Source organism: Homo sapiens, chromosome 9 (genome assembly GCF_000001405.40).
Source record: "Homo sapiens chromosome 9, GRCh38.p14 Primary Assembly".
NCBI lineage: Eukaryota > Metazoa > Chordata > Mammalia > Primates > Hominidae > Homo > Homo sapiens.
Window position 1 is genome coordinate 106,407,516 of NC_000009.12, and position 23,386 is coordinate 106,430,901.

At 39.4% G+C, this 23,386-nt stretch overlaps 1 long non-coding RNA gene across 2 annotated transcripts in view, besides 1 other annotated feature; it reads left to right on the forward strand.

The window, feature by feature from the left end:
- Positions 1-23,386, forward strand: part of LOC107987108 (uncharacterized) — a 675,821-nt gene that overhangs the window by 478,535 nt on the left and 173,900 nt on the right. The window lies entirely within an intron of this gene.
- Positions 13,255-13,334: an enhancer, noted in NCBI's record as "active region_28747". NCBI's record gives its function as "activates an Ori minimal core promoter by ATAC-STARR-seq in GM12878 lymphoblastoid cells {active_cell/tissue: GM12878}" and the evidence as "EXISTENCE:reporter gene assay evidence [ECO:0000049][PMID:35858748]".

The following is a 23,386-nucleotide window of genomic DNA, read 5'->3' on the forward strand; positions in this document are numbered from 1 at the left end:
GTGAGTCATATTCTCCTTTTCAACAGGATAAACAAAGCGCAGCAATTCTTTAGCAAAACAAGCAAAAAAAAACTATAAATCATGCTGCTATAAAGACACATGCACATGTATGTTTACTGCGGCACTATTCACAATAGCAAAGACTTGGAACCAACCCAAATGTCCAACAATGATAGACTGGATTAAGAAAATGTGGCACATATACACCATGGAATACTATGCAGCCATAAAAAATGATGAGTTCATGTCCTTTGTAGGGACATGGATGAAATTGGAAATCATCATTCTCAGTAAACTATCGCAAGGACAAAAAACCAAACACCGCATATTCTCACTCATAGGTGGGAATTGAACAATGAGAACACATGGACACAGGAAGGGGAACATCACACTCTGGGGACTGTTGTGGGGTGGGGGGAGGGGGGAGGGATAGCTTTAGGAGATATACCTAATGCTAAATGACAAGTTAATGGGTGCAGCACACCAGCATGGCACATGTATACATATGTAACTAACCTGCACATTTTGCACATGTACCCTAAAACTTAAAGTATAATAATAATAAAATTAAGAAATAAAAAAAATCCACCTTTTACCTGTGCTAAATTTTTAAAGAAATTTAATATAGTCATACTATGCATGAATATTTATAAAGCTCTTTGGTTTAAAAACTCTCTTTTCCCCATTACTACTCACAAATCTATATTTGCCTTATTTTACAGAAGGATAGATTGAAGTTAAGAGAAATACGATTTTGTGATTAATAAATTACACAGCAGGAGCCCCAGCCCGCACCTTTTCACTCCAAATCTTGTGCTCTTTCCATGTTATCACGTCAGGGACATTGGCTATGATAATGGATGCTGTTTTTAACAGTGCATTTATTGAAGATACAGGAATGGAGATAGTATATAACCTTTCCTGTGTTGACCCTTAGTTAAAAGCTGAGGGTATAGAGGTTAAAGCGAAACTCATTGAGTGACTTGCTGTTTGGGGATAATTTACTGTGGTCCAGGTATTTTGTTTTCCAGTTATTTAAAGAAAGTTTAAGATTTTAGAAAAACTGAAGGAATTGAGGCAAAATGTGCCCATTAGACTAACAATCCCATAATTATTTTCTTGATTGGAAATTGTATCAATTTCCAGTCAGGGTCCCAGCAGTAAACAGATGGCACCACTCAAACTGGGAAATTGAAGTGAGTTTAATAAAGGGGCTACTTACAAAGGAGTGGGTAGAGTTAGGGAAATCAACAAGGGCCAGTGCAGGACTTCCAGAGAGGAGAGGAGCTAGTCAAGGAGTAGCACCCCTACAGGAAGGGAGCTAGAGGAATACTTTCCCTGATGAACTCTCCAGTCTCCTGCTGGCAATCTCATTGACCAAACTGAACAGAAAGTAGAGGATATGGGAGCCCTTTGATAGTATACATTCCATAGAGGTCAGTGTCTAAGGGCACAGAGCATGGTGCAGAAAAATGGAGAATAGATGTGGAGGCGTACAGCAGCACAAAAATGAATGGAAGTTGGTACAGGAATACATTCTCTGGAAGAAGCAAACAAAGCAGGCATTTGGTAAATCAAAGGCAGACCTATCTGCTCTCAGTTACAGCTGAGATGATTAGTATAGATTAAGCTAAAAAAAAAAGGTTTCTATAGATTAAGCTAAAAAGGTGAAAGAAGCTTTTTAAAAACACCAGTTATGTTCCAGGTACTATGTGGGTTGCTTTCCAGGCATCAGATCATCTAATTCTTGCAATAATAATAGCAGATATCATTTTTACCATTATACATGTGAAGAATTAAAGCTCAGATAGGCCAAGTGATTGAACCTACAAAACGCTACTAAATACCAAATCTGAGATTTGAATCCAGGGTTTTCTGACATGAAAGGCTGGACTTCTTCACCTTTGCAGTTTTCCTGCCAACTTTATTTATATGTGACCAGAAGAATGCCATAACACATTTGCACTGAAGTAGAAGCTTAATGTTTCTGAAGATGCAGTTTTGGATTACTCAGATGTACAAACAAGTGATCAATCAAAGCTAAAAATTACCACTCAAGGGAATATGGAAGAGAGTACTCAAGTTTGGAAACTTCAAAGACAATAACTATCATATGCCTTGCCCATAATGATAGCTACCATTTACTGAATATTTAAGAAATAGACTGTTTGCTTTCTGTGCACACAATTCATCCTCATATCAACCTGATGAAGATGAGACTGGAAAGTGAAACACAGAAGGAGAGCTAATAAGGTAAAAAGGATGGGCACAGAAGCTAGAATTTTGGAAATAAACTTTGTTTCCACAATTATAAAACAAAGTAAAATTTTAAAATGAAAAATACATTTCCCAAAAACAGAAGGACAATTTTTTAAAAACTTACTTGGTATCGATTTGTTGATAAAACCTAAAGAAAGGAATATTTTCAAGTGATTTTAAAACAGAGTTGGCCGGGAGCGGTGGCTCATGCCTGTAATCCCAGCACTTTGGGAGGCCGAGGCGGGCGGATCACGAGGTCAGGAGATCGAGACCGTCCTGGCTAACACGGTGAAACTCCGTCTCTACTATAAAATACAAAAAAAAATTAGCGGGGCGTGGTGGCGGGCGCCTGTAGTCCCAGTTGAGGCAGGAGAAACCCGGGAGGCAGAGCTTGCAGTGAGCCGAGATCGCGCCACTCCAGCCTGGGAGACAGAGCGAGACTCCGTCTCAAAAAAAAAAAAAAAAAAAAAACCAGAGTTAACCTGTCTGTGTACATCTTTAGCAGGAAGTATCCTAAGGACAAAAAAAAAAAAAGAAAAAAAGGCTGCAAAAAGAAAATCTTGAACTATTTTTTAGGATGATATTGTGACCAATAATGTTGACATTGTTATTCTAAAAGTATTATGCATATAATTTATGATATATATTTAATGCACTATAATACAATAAAGCAATAGTACTTTAATTACTGTCATTAGGACCTAAGACTTTTAGCATAGGACAAAAAGAGATATAATTATAAAATCAAAGAAGTTAAATAAAGCCTCTGTAAGTTGCCATTTGAACTGGAAATATCAGTTGTATTCATGACATATAGCTTTGTACACTGAAAAGACAAAAATAATAACCAATCTAGTAGCAAGAGACACTATCAGTACCCAAATTATGTTCTCTAAATATCTTTTCTTCCTAGAGGAGCCAGGGCTGCTTGGAGAAATAACTGATTTCAGCTCTATGACAAGAAATGTACAAAATGTGCTGGCAACACTTTATCATACCAGGAAGTAAAGAAGCTCTCAGAAACTATTGGGGCCATGAAAGACTAAGAGGTCAATGTAAAGTGATTACCACTGGACCAAGATGAAGCAATTTGAGCATCTATAGGAATAATACATGTAAAAATAGAAATACATCAAAAGTGAAAAATCAGTGACACTACAATGATGTTTAAAGAGAAAAAAAGTCATTGGTAACTTTTGGAGTATGCTAAAAAACAACTTTTCATTTTTCTGAAAACAGGTTGATATGGTTTTGCTGTGTCCCCACCCAAATCTCATCTTGAATTCCCACATTTTGTGGGAGGGACCGGTCATAGGTGATTGAATTATGGGGAAAGGTCTTTCTTGCCCTGTTCCCGTGATAGTGAATAAGTCTTATGAGATCTGATGGCTGTATAAGGTGGAGTTTCCTTGCACAAGCTTTTTTTCACCTGCTGCCATCCACGTAAGATCGTAAGATGTGACTTGCTCCTCTTTGCCTTCTGCCATAATTATGAGGCCTCCCCAGCCATGTGGAACTGTAAGTCCAATTAAATCTCTTTCTTTTGTAAATGGCCTAGTCTTGGGTATGTCTTTGTCAGTTGCATGAAAATAAACTAATACACTGGTAAATAGAGAATCAAGAATTCCACCTGCTTTTCTATACAATCTCAGGTTAACCAAATATTTGATGAAGGAAAGCTTATTTTTATAAAAGTATCCCAAGTAACACATGAAGGCGAAAAGAATTAGAAGATCACCATTTTTCAAGCCCCTAATAAAACGGTGGATCTAGGTAATGATAATTAATAACTCCTAACATCACAAAAAGAGAGAAAAGTGGACACTATGGTCTCTTGTTGGAATTACGAAACACCATCTGTGAAGGTTTTTTAAACTAAAACATTGACCTAAGTCAGATCCAGTTCTGGGTATAATTATTAGATTATGAGATATACAGGTGCAGAAGGACATATTAAATATTACCATAGGGTCACAATCAACAAAATCCAGAATGTAAAAAAAATGCTATGGGACAGCCCCAGTGACTTGATTTCTTCAACTATTTGATTAAAAAAAAAAAAAGAGGGAGAAGCTTTAGATTAAAATAGACCTAAGAAACTATAAAAATGGATCCTGATTTGAAAAAAAAGTTAAAAAATATAATAAAAACAAATTTATTAAAAATTAGGAATAGTTGACACTGCCTGGATATTTGACAATATTAAATATTTGACACTGCCTGGATATTTGATGATACTAAATATCCAGGCAGTGTCAAATATTTATGGGGATTAATATAAATGTTTATGGGAATTAATGACAGTATTATGGTTATGTTCTTTCAAAAATTCTTATTTTTAGGGGTACTTACTGAACTAATGAAACAATAAGATGTCTGGGATGGTTCAAAATAATCGAGACATTTGGAGATTGGAGTTACTGGGGAGGATTGACAAAGCAAGATTGGGCCTGAATTGATAATTATTGATGATGGGAGATGGGTTTGTGGGGATTCATTCTATTTCTTTGTACTATGTATTTGAACTATTACATAATATGGTATTTAAAAATGTGTTCCAATCTGTGGGATTACTAAATTCTACATGTGCATAGTTCTTAAATATTTTTAAGTTTATCCAGTTATTTAAATATATTTTCACAAATCCTTTTACATGTAATGGGTATGAGTCTTGGTCTATAAACTCCGACGTGTAAGGGAAAGCAGTTTTTCAAAACTTTTCTGAAATTGAACCTAGTTTATATTTAAAAGCTCCATTTCCCCAATAGTAGAGATATGCAGAAACTTAATCTCAGTCCGTTGAGGATTACCACCCTTTTCCTGAGGTGCATCCAAGTTCAGGGGAGTTGCCATGTTGCTCTCCTCTGGGATTAGGAGGCATCTGGTCTTCAGTGTCATCTGTCCATGCTGACATCTGTTGAAACATCCATCATGCCATATGATCCATGATCTTTAGTGCACAGGGATCACCAAAGTTATCCCTTTTTTCAGTACTTAAGCCTTCTTCACTTCTGACTTTTCCAGCTGATAATTGTGTCTCCCTCTTGGGTGCAAGTGAATCATTCTGCCCACATGAGGCTGTGGTATGGAAAATTTCTGTCAGGCTCTCCAAGCCCTATCTTCCTGAATGCACAGCACAGTCATTATTTTAGGGGGGGGTTGGTCCTCCCAGGGACTCTTGCTTATAAAGGAAGCACAAGTCTCCTCTGCTCCTGCATTTCACAAACACACCTAGGGGTCCATATCATCCTTTTCCCGACTGGGCTTCAGCCCCACACAGGGTCAGTGAAGTCAGCCAGCGGGACATATTTTAGGCGACTGCCGATATATTATACCTACCTGTACCTCCAAATGTCCTTATTCCCAGCTGCAGAAACTCTGTTCTAGTCTCAGAGACAGGAAGTCTTGTTCAGATTCATAATTGTACTCATCCTGAATTATTTCTATTTCCCCAAGAAGAAGGCATTAGAAACCCAAAAGCCAGGAAGAGATTCTTCTTTTATCTTCTTGCTCCTAACAGTCGCCTTTCAATGGGAATGAATGAACTGCCCACATGAGGAGCAAAGGTGAGGACAATAACACTAAAATATTTGAACAAACAAACACTATGTGGCAAGCACTATTCTAAATGCTTTGCATATATTAACTTGCCTGATCCTCATGACAACCCTATGAAGTGGGTACAATTATCTTCATGTTAGAGATCGTGAAACTGAGGTTTCAATTACTTGTTCACGATTAGACAGCTAGTAAGTGCTAGAACTAGAATTCCAATCCGGACAGTCTGCCTCTAGATCGGTGCTCTCTAAACCATGAAGAGACACGTAGATTAAAGATTGAATCCATTGGAAGGCTCTAGTCCAACTCTTATTTGCATGTTTCATTTTTTAAATCATCAGAAGTATAAAACTGGCTGCTTCATTAAATTTTTTTTTAATTTTTACTGCTTTATCCATATGAAGCAGAGAGAATGTGAAAGAAAAAAGAACAAGCAGTATTTACTGAAGTCTCATAGGTATGCCTCACTATAGCACTGGAATTTAACATTATTACATTTCCATTTTTTACAGATGATGATGCTGACCTTTAGTGTAGCTAATGCTCTGGTGGACCCACTGTGAAAAAGTGGAAGGGCTGTGATAGAAACCAAAGGCCATTGGATCAACCAAGGTTAAGCTTATTCCCCTGCCACACAAGAGAGCTTAACTACCTTTTGACCTGAAATTAAGGGGGACAGTTGCAGGTCCCTACAAATATCTGGTCCTGCCAGGGGAAAGGAGATGCAGGCTTTGGGCCTGTCAGGCCGCTATGTTTTCACCAGCTGTGACTCTGCTTGCCTTTACACAGCATTAATGAAAAGACTAGAGCAGTAACAGATGGAACACACTCGAACTTTCCAATCAGGGTTCTTCGATCCCCTTTGGTTCCTCTCTGCTCCGTGCATCATCTGCATGAAAAAGCCCAGTGGATCTTTTTCAGCTGCTTCCCGTCAGCCCATGTAATGTCCTTTCTGACACTCCTCTGGGAGAGCCCCGTGTTGTGCAAGAACAGACAGGAGGGTGCAAATAATTAGAACTTAGATTGTCAACCCACACAGTCTTCGAAGTCAGTCACACAGAAAATGCATTGGGTTGACATATGATGCACAGTGCTGTTTTATGGAAATAAATGGTCTAAACTGCTTAGTTTTGGTAAAAGTTGATAGTGTATTTTATGTGTCCCAATCACTCATTTTTATGGGAACTGAGGCAATAACATTGATTAAGATGAATTCTTCGGAGCCAGTGTCAGTTAACTCTGGTTGTGCACAGGGTATCATTCATTTAACTTTTCCTTTTCCTCTCTTCCCCTGACCAGGCATCATATGTGATATATATAATTTTAAAAGTCATTTGTAGATGTTTAGAAATAAAAATGCTCAGGTTTGTAAGCATAATAATCTCCACGAGTAAGAAATTGTCATTTAGACGTAACTGTACATTACAAACTTGTTATGGGAATCCTAAATTAATGTACAGAAAACAAACACACCCAGACACATACACCTTGATGGAGGTTAAACTACTCTCCTCCCCTTCCTGTCATAATAGCTTAGCATAATGATAGTGCTGTCATTATAAATATTTGGAAGCTTCTGCATCTTGATAATTGATGGATTCTGAATGTTGGAGAACTCAGAGAATAATTTTTAAATCAGCACCAGCAATATATTCAAAGTGTTTCCCTGGATTTTCAGAATGAAAACCAGAACCAGCCTCTATTTCTTAAGAAATGATTGGAAAGAGAGAGAGAGCTAGAGAAAGAGAGACACAAATACACCCGGCCCTCTGTTATTTCCTAGGTCTTCCTTCGGTAAATTGAAAACGGTACCTCCCCTCTGTGAGTCTGCCGCCCTCCAGATGCTTGGCCCGGATGCCATACACCTGCTCAGTGTCAGCCAGAACCCACCAGAGCATATGGCAGCTCACATATTGCCTTGTCTCGGGATGGATTGGGAACGCTGGTCACCTGGGCTGTATTTTCAAGTGGTGTGACAGCAGCTGTGGGAAGCCCAGAGAATGACAGGCTCTCACTGCTCTTCTTACTAGTGGGAAAGGAGCACGAGAGGAACAGAAGGGAGATGTTTTCATATACCCAGTAGCTACGACTTGACTCTCCTGTAAAAGGACACACCGCTTGCTGTCTTCACCCACAGTGAGCAGGTGCAATAGAAGGGAAATTCTGATTTTTTTTTATTTAAAATTGCAACTGTGGTAGGCACAATTATGGCCCCTGAAGATGTTCATGTCCTAATCCCTGGAACCTGTGAATATGTTACCTTACATGGCAAAAGGGAATTAGGTAGCAGATATAATTCAAGTTGCTTATCATCTGACCTTAAAAGAGGGACATTATCCTGGATAACCTGGGTGGGCCCAGTAGAATCATGAGGGTCCTTAAATGTAGAAAGGAAGGTAGGAGAAGAGGTCAGAGTGATGCTATGTGAGAGGAAGTCCACCTGCTGTTGTTGGCTTTGAAGATAGAGGTAGAGCGTCACAAGCCAAGGGATATGGCTCTGTGTCTCTACGTAAATCTCATGTTGAACTGTAGTCCCCACATGTTGAAGGAGCGGGTCTGGTGGGAAGTGATTGAATCATGGGGGCAGACTTACCCCTTGTTTTTCTCGTGATGGAGTTCTTACAAGATCTGGTTGTTTAAAAGTGTGTAGCAATTTCCGCTTCGTTCTCTCTCTCCTGCTCTGCCATGGTAAGACGTGCTTGCTTCCCCTTTGCCTTCCCGCCATGATTTTAAGTTTCCTGAGGCCTCCCAGCCATGCTTCCTGTACAGCCTGCAGAACTGTGAGTCAATTAAACCTCTTTCCTTCAGAAATTACTCAGTCTCAGGTAGTTCTTTATAGCAGAATTGACTAACACACCAAGCAATGCAGCAGCCTCTCAAAGCTGAAAAGGGTAAGAAGTGGATTCTTCCTCCAGAACCCCAGAAAGGGACATAGCCCTGTGACACCTTGATTTTAGCTCAATGAGACCCATTTGGAACTTCTGAATACAGAAACTAAGAAAATCACTGTGCGTTGTTTTGTGCCAGTAAGTGTGTGGTAATTTGTCATGGCAGCAGTAAGAGACTAATAAGTGGAGTTATGGTGTGAACCTGTGGTTCTCAACATTGGAGTGTACTAGAATCAGCTGGGGAGCTTTTAAAAATTCTCAGCTGGAGCACACCCCAGGCAATCATGTGAGAATCTCTGGGTGTGAGACCCAGGAATCAGAAATTTATCAACTCCCACGTGATTCCAATGTGCTACCAAAGTTGAGAAGCAATGATTTAGTGGATGGAACCTCCACAGTGTTTGGAGTCAAGAAAGTTGGGTTCAAACACTATTTCTATCATTTCAAGGTTAAGCTCAATTCAGTTGGCCTGCATATTAAATGTGCATGCACATCTGTATATTTATATCTATAAAATATTAATATATGTATATATACATCAAAAACTCCTGCAAAGTGAGCAGTTATATGTCAGTGAAGTTTTACATGTAGAGTCCAGCACATGGTAAATGCATGTAATGGAAGTTATTTTGCTAAAACTGAGTAGTTGAAAGCTACTGAAGAGATTTTTAAAATCTTCCTCTAGTAACATAAACAAAAAATGCTTAGTTTCCTATTGTATGTTTTTCTGGGCCCATGTGTCTCAAAGTATGTTCTAATTTGAGATCCATCTTTAGATTTATGTCAGATCACTGGCATGTTGAGGAAAGCAAGATGGTTTTATGAAATTTTTTTGTTTTTGACCATGAGCATACTAAACCAGTCCTTCTTATTTGAGGTTTTCTGCACTTCACTGCTAACTTTCAGGCTCAGATTGTAGGCCGTGTCCTCAGGCAATTTCCTTAACTTTGCCTTCAGCCTTCATTTCCTTGTTAGTAAAAGAGGGACCACAATTCTCTTTCCCATCCGTAAGTGTTACGGGATTTGAGAGAGCAAGCGTAAAATATCTAGCACAATGCCTGGCCTGCAGTCATGACTTGACAAATGCTATTTTTGTAGTAATATGGGTCAAGTCCAAATCCAACTAATGGAATGGAAGAATAAAGTGGAAAGTCAGTGGTTGTGAAAATAGAAGAGAGGGAGTTGCTCAGGGCTTTGGTTTGGCCAGATGTCCATGGTTTTACAGGTTTCCAGCAGGTGTATAGCTTGAGCACAGCTGTGTGCAGGAGCTCTGGCCTGCTGAACACCAGATACTGGGCCACGCCTTTGGAAACACAGAGACATGGGAAAGCTGGTTGGCTTCACGGACATTTAAGAGTGCAACAGGCCACTTGCTGCCCAAATAATGCAAGTGTTTTCAGTTATGCCTCCTCACTCAGTTGTTAAGCCCTTGAGGGCAGAGGCTTTGGTTCATGGTTCTTTGTCATCTAATTTCCTTGCTCAATTCTGGGCACAGTGTAAATGCACAATAGAATCTTGCTGTTTCATTAGCCCATAAGAGTCACATAAAAATGATTAAGAGAAATGTAACACATTCTATCTTCCTTTCCATTTCAATAAGTTGAAAGTAGCACAGTTCTTGAAACCAGGGGCGTAGGGTTGCAGTTCAGACCACAGAATTAGTACATGGGTGAGCCCTTTCTCTGTGTGATCTTGGCTAAGTCACTGGCCTTTCATCTGTCTAATGGTGTTGGAGTGATAGCAGCATTCTATCTTCAGTGCCTCTCTTACAGGGTTAGTACCTGAAACAAGTAATATGAGGGTGAAGGATTTCCATAAATTTGAAATAAAGTAATAGTTTTGGTTTCAAAAGAGGTAAAGCTCACATCTGATTGGGGAGATAACGGGTGAATTTTTGAAGAAGCCATTTAAGGGTAACACCTAAATAAATTTTCTTTTTTACGTTATTCAGGATTCAGAGTCTCCTGTTTTCCAAATGCAACTGGTAGAAACATGTTAATAGTGAAAACGGATTGGATAGGCCATGGGCTATAAACCACTCAGACCTAGGCTCAAATCCCAACATATGCACTTAACGTATGTGGAATCTCAGTCAAGATAAAACTTCTCTGACCCTTAGCATCGTTTTCTTCAAATGGAAGTGATGCTTTTGAAATGGTAGGGCTGGCCATTATGAACGTTCACTGCATGCCTCCGATTGTGCCTGTATCATGTTATGTGAAAAACTTCAGTTTCCCTTCATGGGGGTTTCTCAAGAAGCCCAGTTGTTTACAGGATAGATTATAGTTGTGTGGATAGATTATAGTTGGAGGTCTTCCCCTGCTAAAAGATAATAATCATTTATTTAGGTTATAATTTTTAAAGACATTTATTATTATTTGTATGTTTATATATTAAATACATAATTATGTTTATTTTAAAGTATATGTTAAATGTATCATATATACATAGATATACTATATATGTACATATATTACACACACACACACACACACATATATATATATACACATTCCTGTAGTAAAAAATTAATACTAATGAAACAAAAGTTATCTCAGTCCCCTTTTTAGAGGTAGATTTTCTTTCTTAAACATCAGTTTTTATCAGAAAAATATAAGGCGAAATTATTGTTTTATCTGATTTCAAGGATCAGACAGCTGGAATCTGTTCCCTTGAGAGTGTCAAATCTAACACTATCCTCAGGAGGCTCTAGAGAACAGTACTTAGCAAACCTAGTGATTTGTGGGTTGGTGATCTCTTCCAGGATGCTAATTGGGGCCAGATCAGCTGTTTCCAGGCACTCCTAAAATGCCCTCTCTATTTACTCTGCCCTTTACCCCTGCCAAGAACACACCACTGTGGCACAGTGTAGAGGAAAGAACATGGGAATCGGGAGACAGCAGTGCTGAAAGCCTGGTGGGGAACACAGGCAGGTTATGGAAACTCTGCTTCTCAGTGTCCTCATCTGTGAAATGGGAATTGTTTGTTACAACTGTGTCCCAGGATTGCTATGAACATTAAATAGCATCATGCTTTCAAATCTCGAAATATTTATAAAATATGAAACATTCTGGTGACACACACGATAAAGAATGGAAGAAAATTTGGAAGAGAAAAGAACAGAAAGCCATAATAAATTTGATTGCATATTACTCCTAATAGTACTCTTAATGTCATAAAACCCCATTGGTTTCATCTTCAGTATTGTACTGTATCTACTCACACTACAGTTTATAGCTCTGGAATGGTTTGTAACAAAGACCTTCATTCAACAAAATTTATCAAGCACCTACTAAGTGCCAGCCTTGACCATGCAAGTGAACAAAATGACTTGCCCTCGTGGTGCTTTTATGGCTTTAGGAAATCCCAGGATGTCAGCCCAAGAGAGTTCTCTGACATGCACCTACTACAGTGAGGTCCCGGGTCTTGCATTCTTCATCTTCCACCTAATATAATTCTGGGTCCCAGATCCCTCAAAAACCCACCACTTGGCTTTAGTCCAGGACAGGAATTTGGAGTTTTGAGCTAGGCTAATGTTTGATGCTCAGAAGTTGGACAGGAACATGTGCTCTGTGCCAGCCATGCTTTTTGAGAACTGGTGTCTGGGTTTAATTTCTACTGTCTGTCAGAGAGAAGCTTTGATCAGACTCTGCATTTTTTCACTTCAACTAAGTGACTAGAGGCTACTACTTGCCCATTTCTACCGCCTCTGTGTGAGCTCTGGTTTGGCAGGAATCTCAGAGATTTATTTCCATGAATTCCCTGGAATTGCCCTGCCCATCATTTCTCTCTCCTTTCCAGTCTCAGCACAGTTAGTGCTGGAGGTTGAGTGAGGGAGCCAGTGTGTGTCCAGGAAGGTATGGGATGAGAAATGGGGAGGGAGACCCACACATATTGCAGAAGGAAGTGCAGCAGGAATAAGTGACTGCAGCTGGGTCTTAATGGCTTTTCTTCTCTGCCGTCATTTTCCTTTAAGCCCAAAAGAAACTCTTTGTAATACGTGTTAAAATTATGGTTCAGATTTCTGATGATCAAGTTACATAGATTAAAGTAATGGATACCAGACTCTGCATCAATTCAGGTATAAATATGGATGAAATGAATGTACATTATCCACTGTTATAAATCTACATGTTCAAGGAAAGACATAAATCTCCTGAACCTTTCCTACCTCAGGCTATGAAGGTGTTGTTGTTTTTTTTCCCAGTGTTTTCGATGAAATTATAATTTGGAGTAATTTGCTGGTTTTGCAGAAACTTCCAGCTTTTTTTTTTTTTTACAAGAAAGGGTAGAGTATATTATTTACAATGGTGAGTCATTAAAATGCTCCAGGAAGTCATTGTTGCAGAGGGGGTTGGAGAGGGAAGGGGTTATGCGGCATTCCAGATGTGCATGTGTGGAGAGCGGTGGTGCATTTGGAGAAATTTATAGCACCTGGTTCCATTGTAAAGGGTCTTGGCCTGGGGGCATTTCTCTTCTCTTCCCCTCCCTTCAGCCCTATCACCACTGTACACACAGGGGCTCAAAGGTGGCAGTGCCTGATGGGCACAGGGCCACAGGACGTTGTGGTCTGGCAGGAAAGAGGGACTTTTCATTCCGTCTAAGCCACAAAGCTGATGAAAGTGTCTGCTCTCCTTGCAGCCTGGGGCCCCCTCACATGAGCAAGAGCAAGTCTCATAGTGAAAGAGAAAAAACAGAGCCAAGCACTCTGCAGAAAGAAGTGCATACTCCAGCTCTGCTGTGCAATAACTGCATGTTTGGGTACCTCTTATCTCTTTGGTTTTCAAAATCTGTAGAATGGAGATAATAGTATGCATTCCATAAGGTTGGTGTGAGGAATAAAGGAAATTATAGGTGTGAAGACACCTAGCACAACTCCTTTACCTTCCTGCTGAAACTCCCCACTTGTAGGGATGAAAGACTCTTGGCCGCCATTGTTCCAAATTGCATCATAAATTCTCAACCATTTTCTCATCTTTTATGGCTCTTAAATCCCCTTAGCTAAGTCTACTGCTCCATCTACATGGAGGTTCAGCTATTTCTAAAGTCCTGAGTTATAAATGAAGAACTCACCAAGGAGACCCAGGCTCTTTCCATAAGATTGCTCCACTCTCCCTCCTCTGTGGCATCCACATCATAAGCTCGCAGCCACCTTGCCCTCATTCCAGCCAGCAGAAGGGAAAAGGTGAAAAGCAGGGCATGCCCTTGCCCTTTAAGGACTAACCTGGAAATGACCTGCTTCACTTTCTGTTACTTTCCACTGGCCTGAATTTAGTCACAGGGCTATACCTAATCATGAAGGGGGTTAGGGAAAGTATTCTTTACTTGAGTTAGCTATGGACCTAGCTACATTCACTTACCATGGAAGAAAGGGAGATGGATACTGGGGGACAATTAGCGTTCTCTTCCAGAGGAGGTCACAGGATTTGTGCCAGAAACTCAAGTAGAGCCATATGCTGGAAGAGAGAGATTTTAGGCTCTGTAGGGGTTGAGAATGGATGACTGTAATCCCATGAATCATGAAATGTATCTGTTTAATAATCAGATTAATCAGGATGTAGCCGTGTGGCTTGCTTTGTTAATGTGCTAATTCCAGGGACTACAGTAACTGGGCCCGTCCTATTATGGGTCAAATAAAATTTACCTTCCTGTGTAGCCACAGACAGTCATCTCATGCCTACCCGATGTGCTTTTTACCTCTGTACCCCCAGTGCATTTCCCACAGCCTGCCACACAGATTTTCATTCAACAGTTGTTGAATGAATGGATGAGTTAATGTGAGAGTAAATAAAAGGACAAGCAATGACTGGGCAACAGGATGTGGGTATGTGGGGATGTCAGTGGGTACTTTCATAAATAGAACCAAACCATCTCTACTCTCCTGAGCCCATCACCTCCCTTACTCTTAAGAAATGTCCTTGCTTTGAATTTAGACAGAGAAAATAAAAAAACATTTTCAGTACCTACACTGGCCCAAACAAACTTATTGGCATCTACATTCATCCTTTCTCCCTTCCCTTCTGCTAAATCGGGTAAAGTATTTCCCTGGGAAATACTTCCCTCGGGCTCCTTCAGGCTTTAAATACCTTCAAATTTCTCCCACGTTAAAAAAAAACTAAATATTCACTGAATCCTTACCTGCGGTTGTATCTTATCCTCCACCTTCACAGCCAAACTTCTTAAAAGAATTGGCTGAACTCACTGTTTCCTCTTTTTACCTCCCATTCCCTCTCTATCTTATTGATGTTTGGTTTACATCCCTGCCTCTAATCTGACACTCCCCTGATAAAAGTTACTGATGATCTCCCTGTTGCAAATGCCAAGGGCATTTTCTTTCTTTCTTTCTATTATTATTATTATTTTTATGAGACAGTCTCCGTCTGTCGCCCAGGCTGGAGTGCAGTGGCACAATCTCGGCTCACTGATACCTCCACCTCCTGGGTTCAAGCGATTCTTGTGCCTCAGCCTCCCAAGTAGCTGAGATTACAGGTATGTGCCATCACGTCCAGCTAATTTTTTTGAATTTTTACTAGAGATGGGGTTTCTCCATGTTGCCTAGACTGGTCTCGAACTCCTGGCCTCAAGTGATCCACCAGCCTTGGCCTCCCAAAATGCTGGGATTACCTGTGTGAGCCACCCGCAGCTGGTCAGCCAAGAGAATTTTCTAGTTCTTATCTCATTTGGCCTCTTGAAAGCATTTGATTCTGTTGATTACTCTTTTTGAGAAGTTCTCTTCCCCCGGGTCATGCAAAACACCACCCATCCTGGTTTTCTTCTGCTGCTTCTTGGGATGCTTTCTCTATGTCTCCTTATGGGCTCCCTTCTTCTGCTAATCAGTAAATGTTAGTGTTTCTCAGGCATCTGTTCTGGGCTAGCTTTTATTCTACTTTACACACAGATCCCTGGATATATCATTCACTGCCATTGTATTTATGCAGATGTAATGCATACTCACATGATACCCAAATATATATTTCTAGGCTACTCTTCTCTCTAGAGTACAGATTTAACTAGCTCCTCGACATCTTCTCTTAGATATTCTAGAGGCACCTAGAACACTGTGTAAAATTAGATGCGAGTCCTGTCACTTATTATCCTTGTGCCTTGCTTTTGCTTCACTGGTAAAGTGAAGGTCATAATGATTCAGGATTTTAATGAGGTCAAATGGGTCAATATATGGGAATGTGCCGTGTGTACTGTAAAGTGCTATATGCATGTGAAGGATGACAATTACCTTATAACAACCAACAAGGCTTCACTGAATACTTACAGTGTGTCCATCGTGGTTCTGAATGTCGGACTCATTCAGAATAGACTAGAACGAGCCATGCCTCCTGTCCTGAGGACCTTACAGATTAATTGGGAAGGGGCAAATGAAATAATGAAGCACTAAACTGTGATGTAAGCAACACAGCTTGCAAGAATAGAAAGGCCAATGGTGTTTCCAGTGGAAATCAAGGGCAGTTTCCTATTTTCTTCCAGCCCCTCTCACCCTCTTTTGAAAGTCATTACCCGGCCCATAGCCTGGAAGATGCAGCTCAAGTTACACATGACACCTGCAGCTACAGCCATTTGGACTGGTATCTGTGTGACCTACACTAAGCCAACTAGGATGTCTCTCACAGGGATATGTTATTCAGGCAGTGTTGAAAAATGGTAATGTAGAGATGACACCAGATTTAATGCCATGGGGACAAATAAGTAAAGATTCTGAGAACCAGAATCGAAAATCTGGCAGTGCAAGCCTATCCATTGAATTGAGAATGGAGCAGATAAGTGGGGAAAAGTGGAGCTAAGAGACCCTGTGGTCCCAGGAAGAGCAATGCAGAATAGAAGCTGTAAGGTAGTTGCCCAGTTCACTTGAAACCTGTCTGGGTTTCTCACAATCATGTTAACTTTACCTCAAAGTCCTACGTTAATTCTAGTGTCACATGGCACCATAGCACATTTATGCTTAGTTTTCAAATAATAGATATTTTAAAGTAATAAAGATATTTAATAATAATATTATACTCTTTAGTCATGTACCTGTATAGATTTAAATTGCAATTTGATTCAAGCTTACAAGATTATATGGGGATTTGATTTTTTTAACCTCTGGTTTGTAATAGAAATTACTTTCCTTCATGCATCCGTTGCAAATTAATTGCGTTAATAATAATAACCACACTATTGTCTTATTGTATAGTGATTTACAATTAATAAAGGGATTTAACATACATTATCTCATTTGAGCCTCACAGTGACTCTGTGTGACTCAGAGAGGGTAAGTAAATTATTTAGTTACACAGCAGGATTGGGACATAAATTGAGTCCTCCTCACTCTTAATCCAGTCCCAAGGCAGATTAAAACTACAAAAGTTCAATCAGTGCATTCTCCAACCCACGCCTGAGTTAGGTATGTGTGAAGCTATCTTTTGGAATATGACAAAGATGCTGAAGTCATTGCTGATCTTTTGAATTCACATCCCCAAAGTCCCAACAGAGGAGAAAGCTCAAATTCAGCTAAGTTCACCAACATTCTCTGATTTCTTATTATATTCTAGCTCTGAGCTAGACTCAGGGTTTTTGTGAATGAACTTGCTGAGTCTGAAACATCTGTATTAGAACAGGTAGACACTCAAGTCTGACCTTTTAAAACATCAAGTTTAACCTTCAAGAGGTCTTCTTTACAGCAATAGAGACTGTGTTACCCAGGAACAGTGGTTGGCTGTTTTGTGGGAAACTTCCCCATCTGTTCAGCTCTGACATCTGGCTCCCAGGACACCTGATAGAGAGGATGTCAAAAGCAAAGAGCATGGTAGCTCAAGGCTTCTGATACTGAGATTAGAAACTTTCACATAATCTCATAAAACTTGAAAAATCTGCTAGATCATTCCCGGGACAATCATGCTCTCTCCCATATATTTTGAGAGGAGGGAAAAGTCCAGTTTGGTCACCATTTCCAAAGAGTGGGTGGAGAGAATGCTTCCAAATATTCCCACTCTCAAGAGAGCAGAACATTTCCTGGGAAGAAATAATAGGTGATCTGATCTCTTTGCAGTATACTCTGAGAATGGGCTGGGGCTAATGGAATGCCTGCCAGTCTGTCCCCACCCTCCAATTGCTCTGCCTCTCACGGCAGGTCCCTCTGGTCCTCCTCCCTCACAAATGCAGAGAATGATGGCAGGTTCCACAAACACAAAAGGATGCAGTGTGGTGGTTAAAATGGACAAGAAGACGCTAAACCACTAATCATACTCCACTAGCATTCCCACCCCTCCCCAAGTGCCCCAAGATACAAAGGGAAACATTTAGACATTAAGTACAGATTAAAGAAACCCAAAAAAGGCCACCAATGCTTAGACCCAAAGACATGACAGATCATTTGCTTCCCGTTTAAGTTGGTCTTAGGTACAATAGCTGAGATTCCTTGATTTCTGTGAAATGGAAAGAGGAACTGTCAGGTTTGGGAATTGCCCTTCAAGGCTTCTTTGTGTGTGAAAATCACAGAGCCGACCCCTAGAATGTAGAGAGGCCCACCATGTGGGACTGTTTCCTCTGGAGAAATTCCAAGCTTCCTCTTCCTGGGGCCTCCAGCCAAGGATGAGCTTCTTACCAATATCTGCTCTTGCAGAGTCCCAGGGCTCAAGAGAGCAGCATTTTGGTAGAGCTGGGGGAGGATGGAGTGCCTGCTACTGTGCTATATTCTTTCTTAAAGCAGATATCAGTCAGCTTCGCTTAAAGAGAATGTCAAATCCTATCCCTTTCTGAGTTAAGCTTCCTGGGAAGCGCCTTCAGGACTACACAGGGTATGTAATTCCAAGTGATCTTTAATCTAATTTAATTGACTCTGAGAGAACCCCTCATTTCTCCTTGGAGGGCCAAAATATTGATGGGACATTTTCAGCCCCAAAGAATTGGAAGCCAGTGACCCCTCCATCAATAGGGGTCATTAGACCACAAGAACCTGTTGCTGCCCTGAGAAGGACAAGGTGAAGGGGGGTGGGCCAGCCCAAACCCAGAAAGAGGAACCAAGATCACAGAAAGAGACAAGTATGAGCCATCCTTTAAGAGACACTGGGCATATAGGAGGGGCATTCAGTGTGGTGGTCAAGGCTGCAGGTGCAGAAGGAAAGAATAAATCTTCCAAAGGACCTACCAGTTTGCACCATTTTATACCAAAAAAAAAAAAAGTAACCTGGAAAATTCATCTTGCATCCAGTGTTATCCAAAGTGAATCCCATTTTTCTCTGTGGCTTCTCTTGCTCTTTCTAAAATGCATTAATTCAACTATGTTTTAATGAAAGAGTGGAACATGCACATCTTGAGTAAACTGACAGTTACAACTCAAAATGATGAGTAAACACTGGGGACATCTATTCCATCTGGCCTGGGAGTTTGGGGGATGAGAAGGCTTTCTCTGGGGGCCAGTGCAGCACAGGAGTCCCAGAAGAGACCACAGCCAAGGACCATAGTGTGCATGAGAGATTTCATTTAGATCATTAGGGGAATTAGAAACTAACCCTTATATAGTCTTCAAGTGTCAGGCACTGTTCTAAGCTCCTAATATGTACTAAGTCATTTAATCCTCACAGTAACCCAATGAGGTATAGAATTATTTTCCTCCCTTTATAGCTAAAGAAACCAAGGCTCAGAGATGTTGCATAGTTTGTCCGAAACCATGAGAACAGATGCCTCCGACTCTCACCCAGGCTGCCTACTCTGCTGATCAGGTTCTTAGATCCTCCTCTCCATGACCTGTACTATAATAAGGAAAAACTCAGACAGTTGGAGCCAGAAAGCAAGGTGGGAAGCAGAGAATGAGCAATGAAGAGTAAAAGAGGAGCAGGGACTTTGAATATCATGCTAAGTTCTCATTTCTTTTACTGGGGTGCAGAGATTGCTAAGGTTCTATGATGAAAGGTCAGGGGACATGTTAAGCCAAAATACATCATTTTAAAATTTAAAAACTTACATAAAAAATGTCTTAAGTGTGTATTCAAATTATTGTGATATACCCCCCAAAAGTAACAACAACCAACTACTTGATCTTACAAAAGCACAGGGTTTAAAAAACAAAGTCATCTTAATTTTATTTCCTATCGGTAAATTTCCTGATAATGCAAAAGTATAAACAATTCTTCTGTGTGAATATGTGTATGTTATTTGGGGACTTGTTTTTTAAATTTTTATGGGTACAGAGTAGTTGTATATATTTATGGGGTACATGAGATGTTTTGGTACATACTTACAATATGAAATAAGCACATCATGGAGAATGGGGTATCCTTCGAGTTACAAACCATTCAGTTGCACAGTTAAAGTATAACAACCTTGAATTTGAAAGTATTTATCAGTGGTTAAAAACCAGAAGTTTTCAGCATAAACTTGAAAGTAGTAAAAATCTGCAAAATGTGCAAAATTCAGCTTAACTTAAAATCACTGGCCACTATGAGAGCCATGGCCTTGACCCAAGATTCCTCATAATTAACCACAACTAGTGGATCAATAGATTATTTCAGAAACTAGCTGTAAAAGCTTATGCTTAAATAGTTCTTAAAATATAAGCCTTATTGTTGTATAATATTTTGCTTCCACAGGGCCTAAACATTGTTATCTCTTGTGGAAGGAGATTTTGAATCATAAATCTATAGACACATAGTTTTGGCATTCATTAATTTTAATTCCTGCAAATTTTGTAGAACAATGATCCAAACTTTTTGAACCCAAAAACATAATTTAGATGGGATCAATATGATTTTTAAAAAGTGAAACAAACAAAACACTTCTTCTGAGTTCAATATCAGAATCATCTTTAAAGGTGAAATATAAGTAATGGGGAAAAAATAAAGATACAACCAAACCTAGTTGAGGTCAAAAAAAGGCAGCCATGCTGAAAAAGCATGCCATTCTTGAGTGACATGATCACATCTTGCTTTTTAATATGGTTAGAAGTGCATTCTTGAATAACTGGTTGAAAAACTAAAGTTAATCTGATTCTTTAAAGTCTATATAAAACACTATTGCCAATCGTGGTTATTTCATTTGTCATTCCTATAGTATTTTCAAATTCAGAGTATTTGGGTTAAAATGTTTATTTGTAAAGTAGCAAAATAATAGAAGTATTTTCAAAATGATATGTAATTTTAACTAAGCTTATATATGTGTAAAAATAATATATACATAGATAAACACATAAGATTTGTGTGCTCGGAAGTGAAAATAGCTCACATTAAGACTACTATGCATCCTTGAATATGTCAGTCACCTTTGCATTATTCTCTGAGAATGCATCACCCCAAAAATATATCTCTTGAATTTCTTGGTATGTTCAATATGGCAGAAAACTGAGAAATCATGTTTATTAAATAGTGGTAGAGAGATTATTTTACAATAAAGCTTAAATAAAATAAGATGTGACTTTGAAAACTTACTCTACTCTGCAAAGAGTGTATTGGTTTAACAAGAGAAATAATCAGGTTGTGATTTTTTCATGAAGGGCTAAACAGCCCTTTTTATCTTAGAAGGGAAAAAAAAAACAGAACAAAGAATGGGAACCTGGATAAAGAGAAGGATTTAATTGTTCACCTCAATGATTAAAAAGTGACACACAAATTTTGGTTTTTTAGAGATATTTCAAACCTTTCCATGACCAAATGAAAGACAAACCAATTGTTTTTATTGCAACAAAGTAAAGTTTGAGAATTGAATGATGAATAATGGGACTTTACTGACTTTACTATGCTTAGAACCCAATTCCTATTTCATAGATAGATGTTTATTAAATAAAGAAAACACATTATAACTTCCACCTTCTAAATAGCTGATTACCTGGAAATAGACCTAGATTGTCACGTTCCTATCTGGTGACTTTATCTTCTCGCCTCAGCTGAATGCAGGTAGAAGTGTCTTGCCAATTAAGATCCCTTCAAATAGAAATTTTGAATTAGAGTCTTGAAACACTGAATCAATTAATTATGAGTAGCTTAGACATCCAGTTATAAACAGCCAGGTTAGTAGTTTAACAAGAGAAATAATACAGCGAGACTGTATACTTTATCATCCAAATCAGTAATTAAAGTGTGTCCTATTATTTGGCAAATAAAGTTTGCCCTATTTATTAATATACCAGCATAATGTGATAAACTGGGAGTGTCAAGATACTCGAATAAATGTGGTCGCCACATATTTATTGGTGGAATAAGATGGGCCCTACTTCCTCAGATACCCGCCCACCTAAAAAAAACAAAAAGAATAAAAAAGAAAATTTAATGTGGCATTTTTTCTCTGAAATAGTGAAAGAGGTTGACAAGTGAACTATGGACAATTAATACCATCTATACCATAAGAGTCTTGAGATTGAGATGGGCCCCTTCCATTTCTGATGTTGTACCCCATGGCTGTATGTGTTTATCTGCTTGCCTCCTTGTGAGTATTTCTCTGGAAGAGTTCAAAAATAATTATGTAGGAATGGGAAACACTGAAGAATAGAGCAGGGAGAGGCCTTACAAAACTGGATTCTAGATGGATTCCTCACTGTAGCTGCAGAGAAGCTGACGAAGAGAGGTGGGATGAAAATAAAGAGGGGGATTCAAAACTGATGTAGTCAGTTGCCCAAGTGAGAAATAATGAGAGCTGGAGCTATGGCCTTGACTCTCAGTTGAGAACATATTAAAGAGATGAGAAGCTTTACCACTTCAGGTCATAAGCAGCTTTGGTCAACCATGGAGACTCCTACTAACCTGGCTGTTTATAACTGGATGTCTAAGCTACTCATAATTAATTGATTCAGTGTTTCAAGAGTCTAATTCAAAATTTCTATTTGAAGGGATCTGAATTGGCAAGACACTTCTACCTGCATGCAGCTGAGGCCAGAAGATAAAGTCACCACATAGGAACATGACAATCTAGGTCTATTTCCAGGTAATCAGGTATTCAGAAGATGGAAGTTATAATGTGTTTTCTTTATTTAATAAACATCTATCTATGAAATAGGAATTGGGTTCTAAGCATAGTAAAGGATAAAGAAAAAATAAATGGAAGGAAATTAACACTTATTAAAAGGTGGCAATGTGTTCCACACACTTATTCTTCATGATACTTCCTTGTGGTAACTGCTGTTCCTGCTTTATAGATGGAGTGAGGTAAATTTCCCATGGTCACATGGCTGTTAACACGGGACTCCGAATTCAAGACAGACACATTCTGCCTCTAAACCACAGGTTTCTCCAGCCTCTGCCCAGTGTGGCTTGAGCTGGCATGAGAGGGAGAATGGCCTTTAGGACCTCCCCACTTGGAATAACAATTCACTTCCTGGCGAGAAAACAGGAAGCCCCCAATATGGTCCCTTCCTGACTATCCTCTCTCTGAAACAAGTAGGTCTTCCTCAAATTCTTTTCATGATTAAATTTTATCCCTAAAGGCCCCAAATGAGGTCACTTATATCTGTGAGTTCCAGTTCTACTTCACCTATTTAATTAACAAATTTTAACCCAGTGCCTTCCCTGTGCCAAGCTTGAGACCACACCACCAGATATTTAAAGGCTGACCTTGCCTTTAAGGAGCTCTCAGCCTGGCAGAAGAAATGGGACATGAGCATAGATCATCAAAATGCAAGGCAAACACAGATGAGTAATTGCAGTGATGTGAAAATTTTAGGAGAGATCATCCAGGTAAAACTTCCAGACAAGAAGACATTT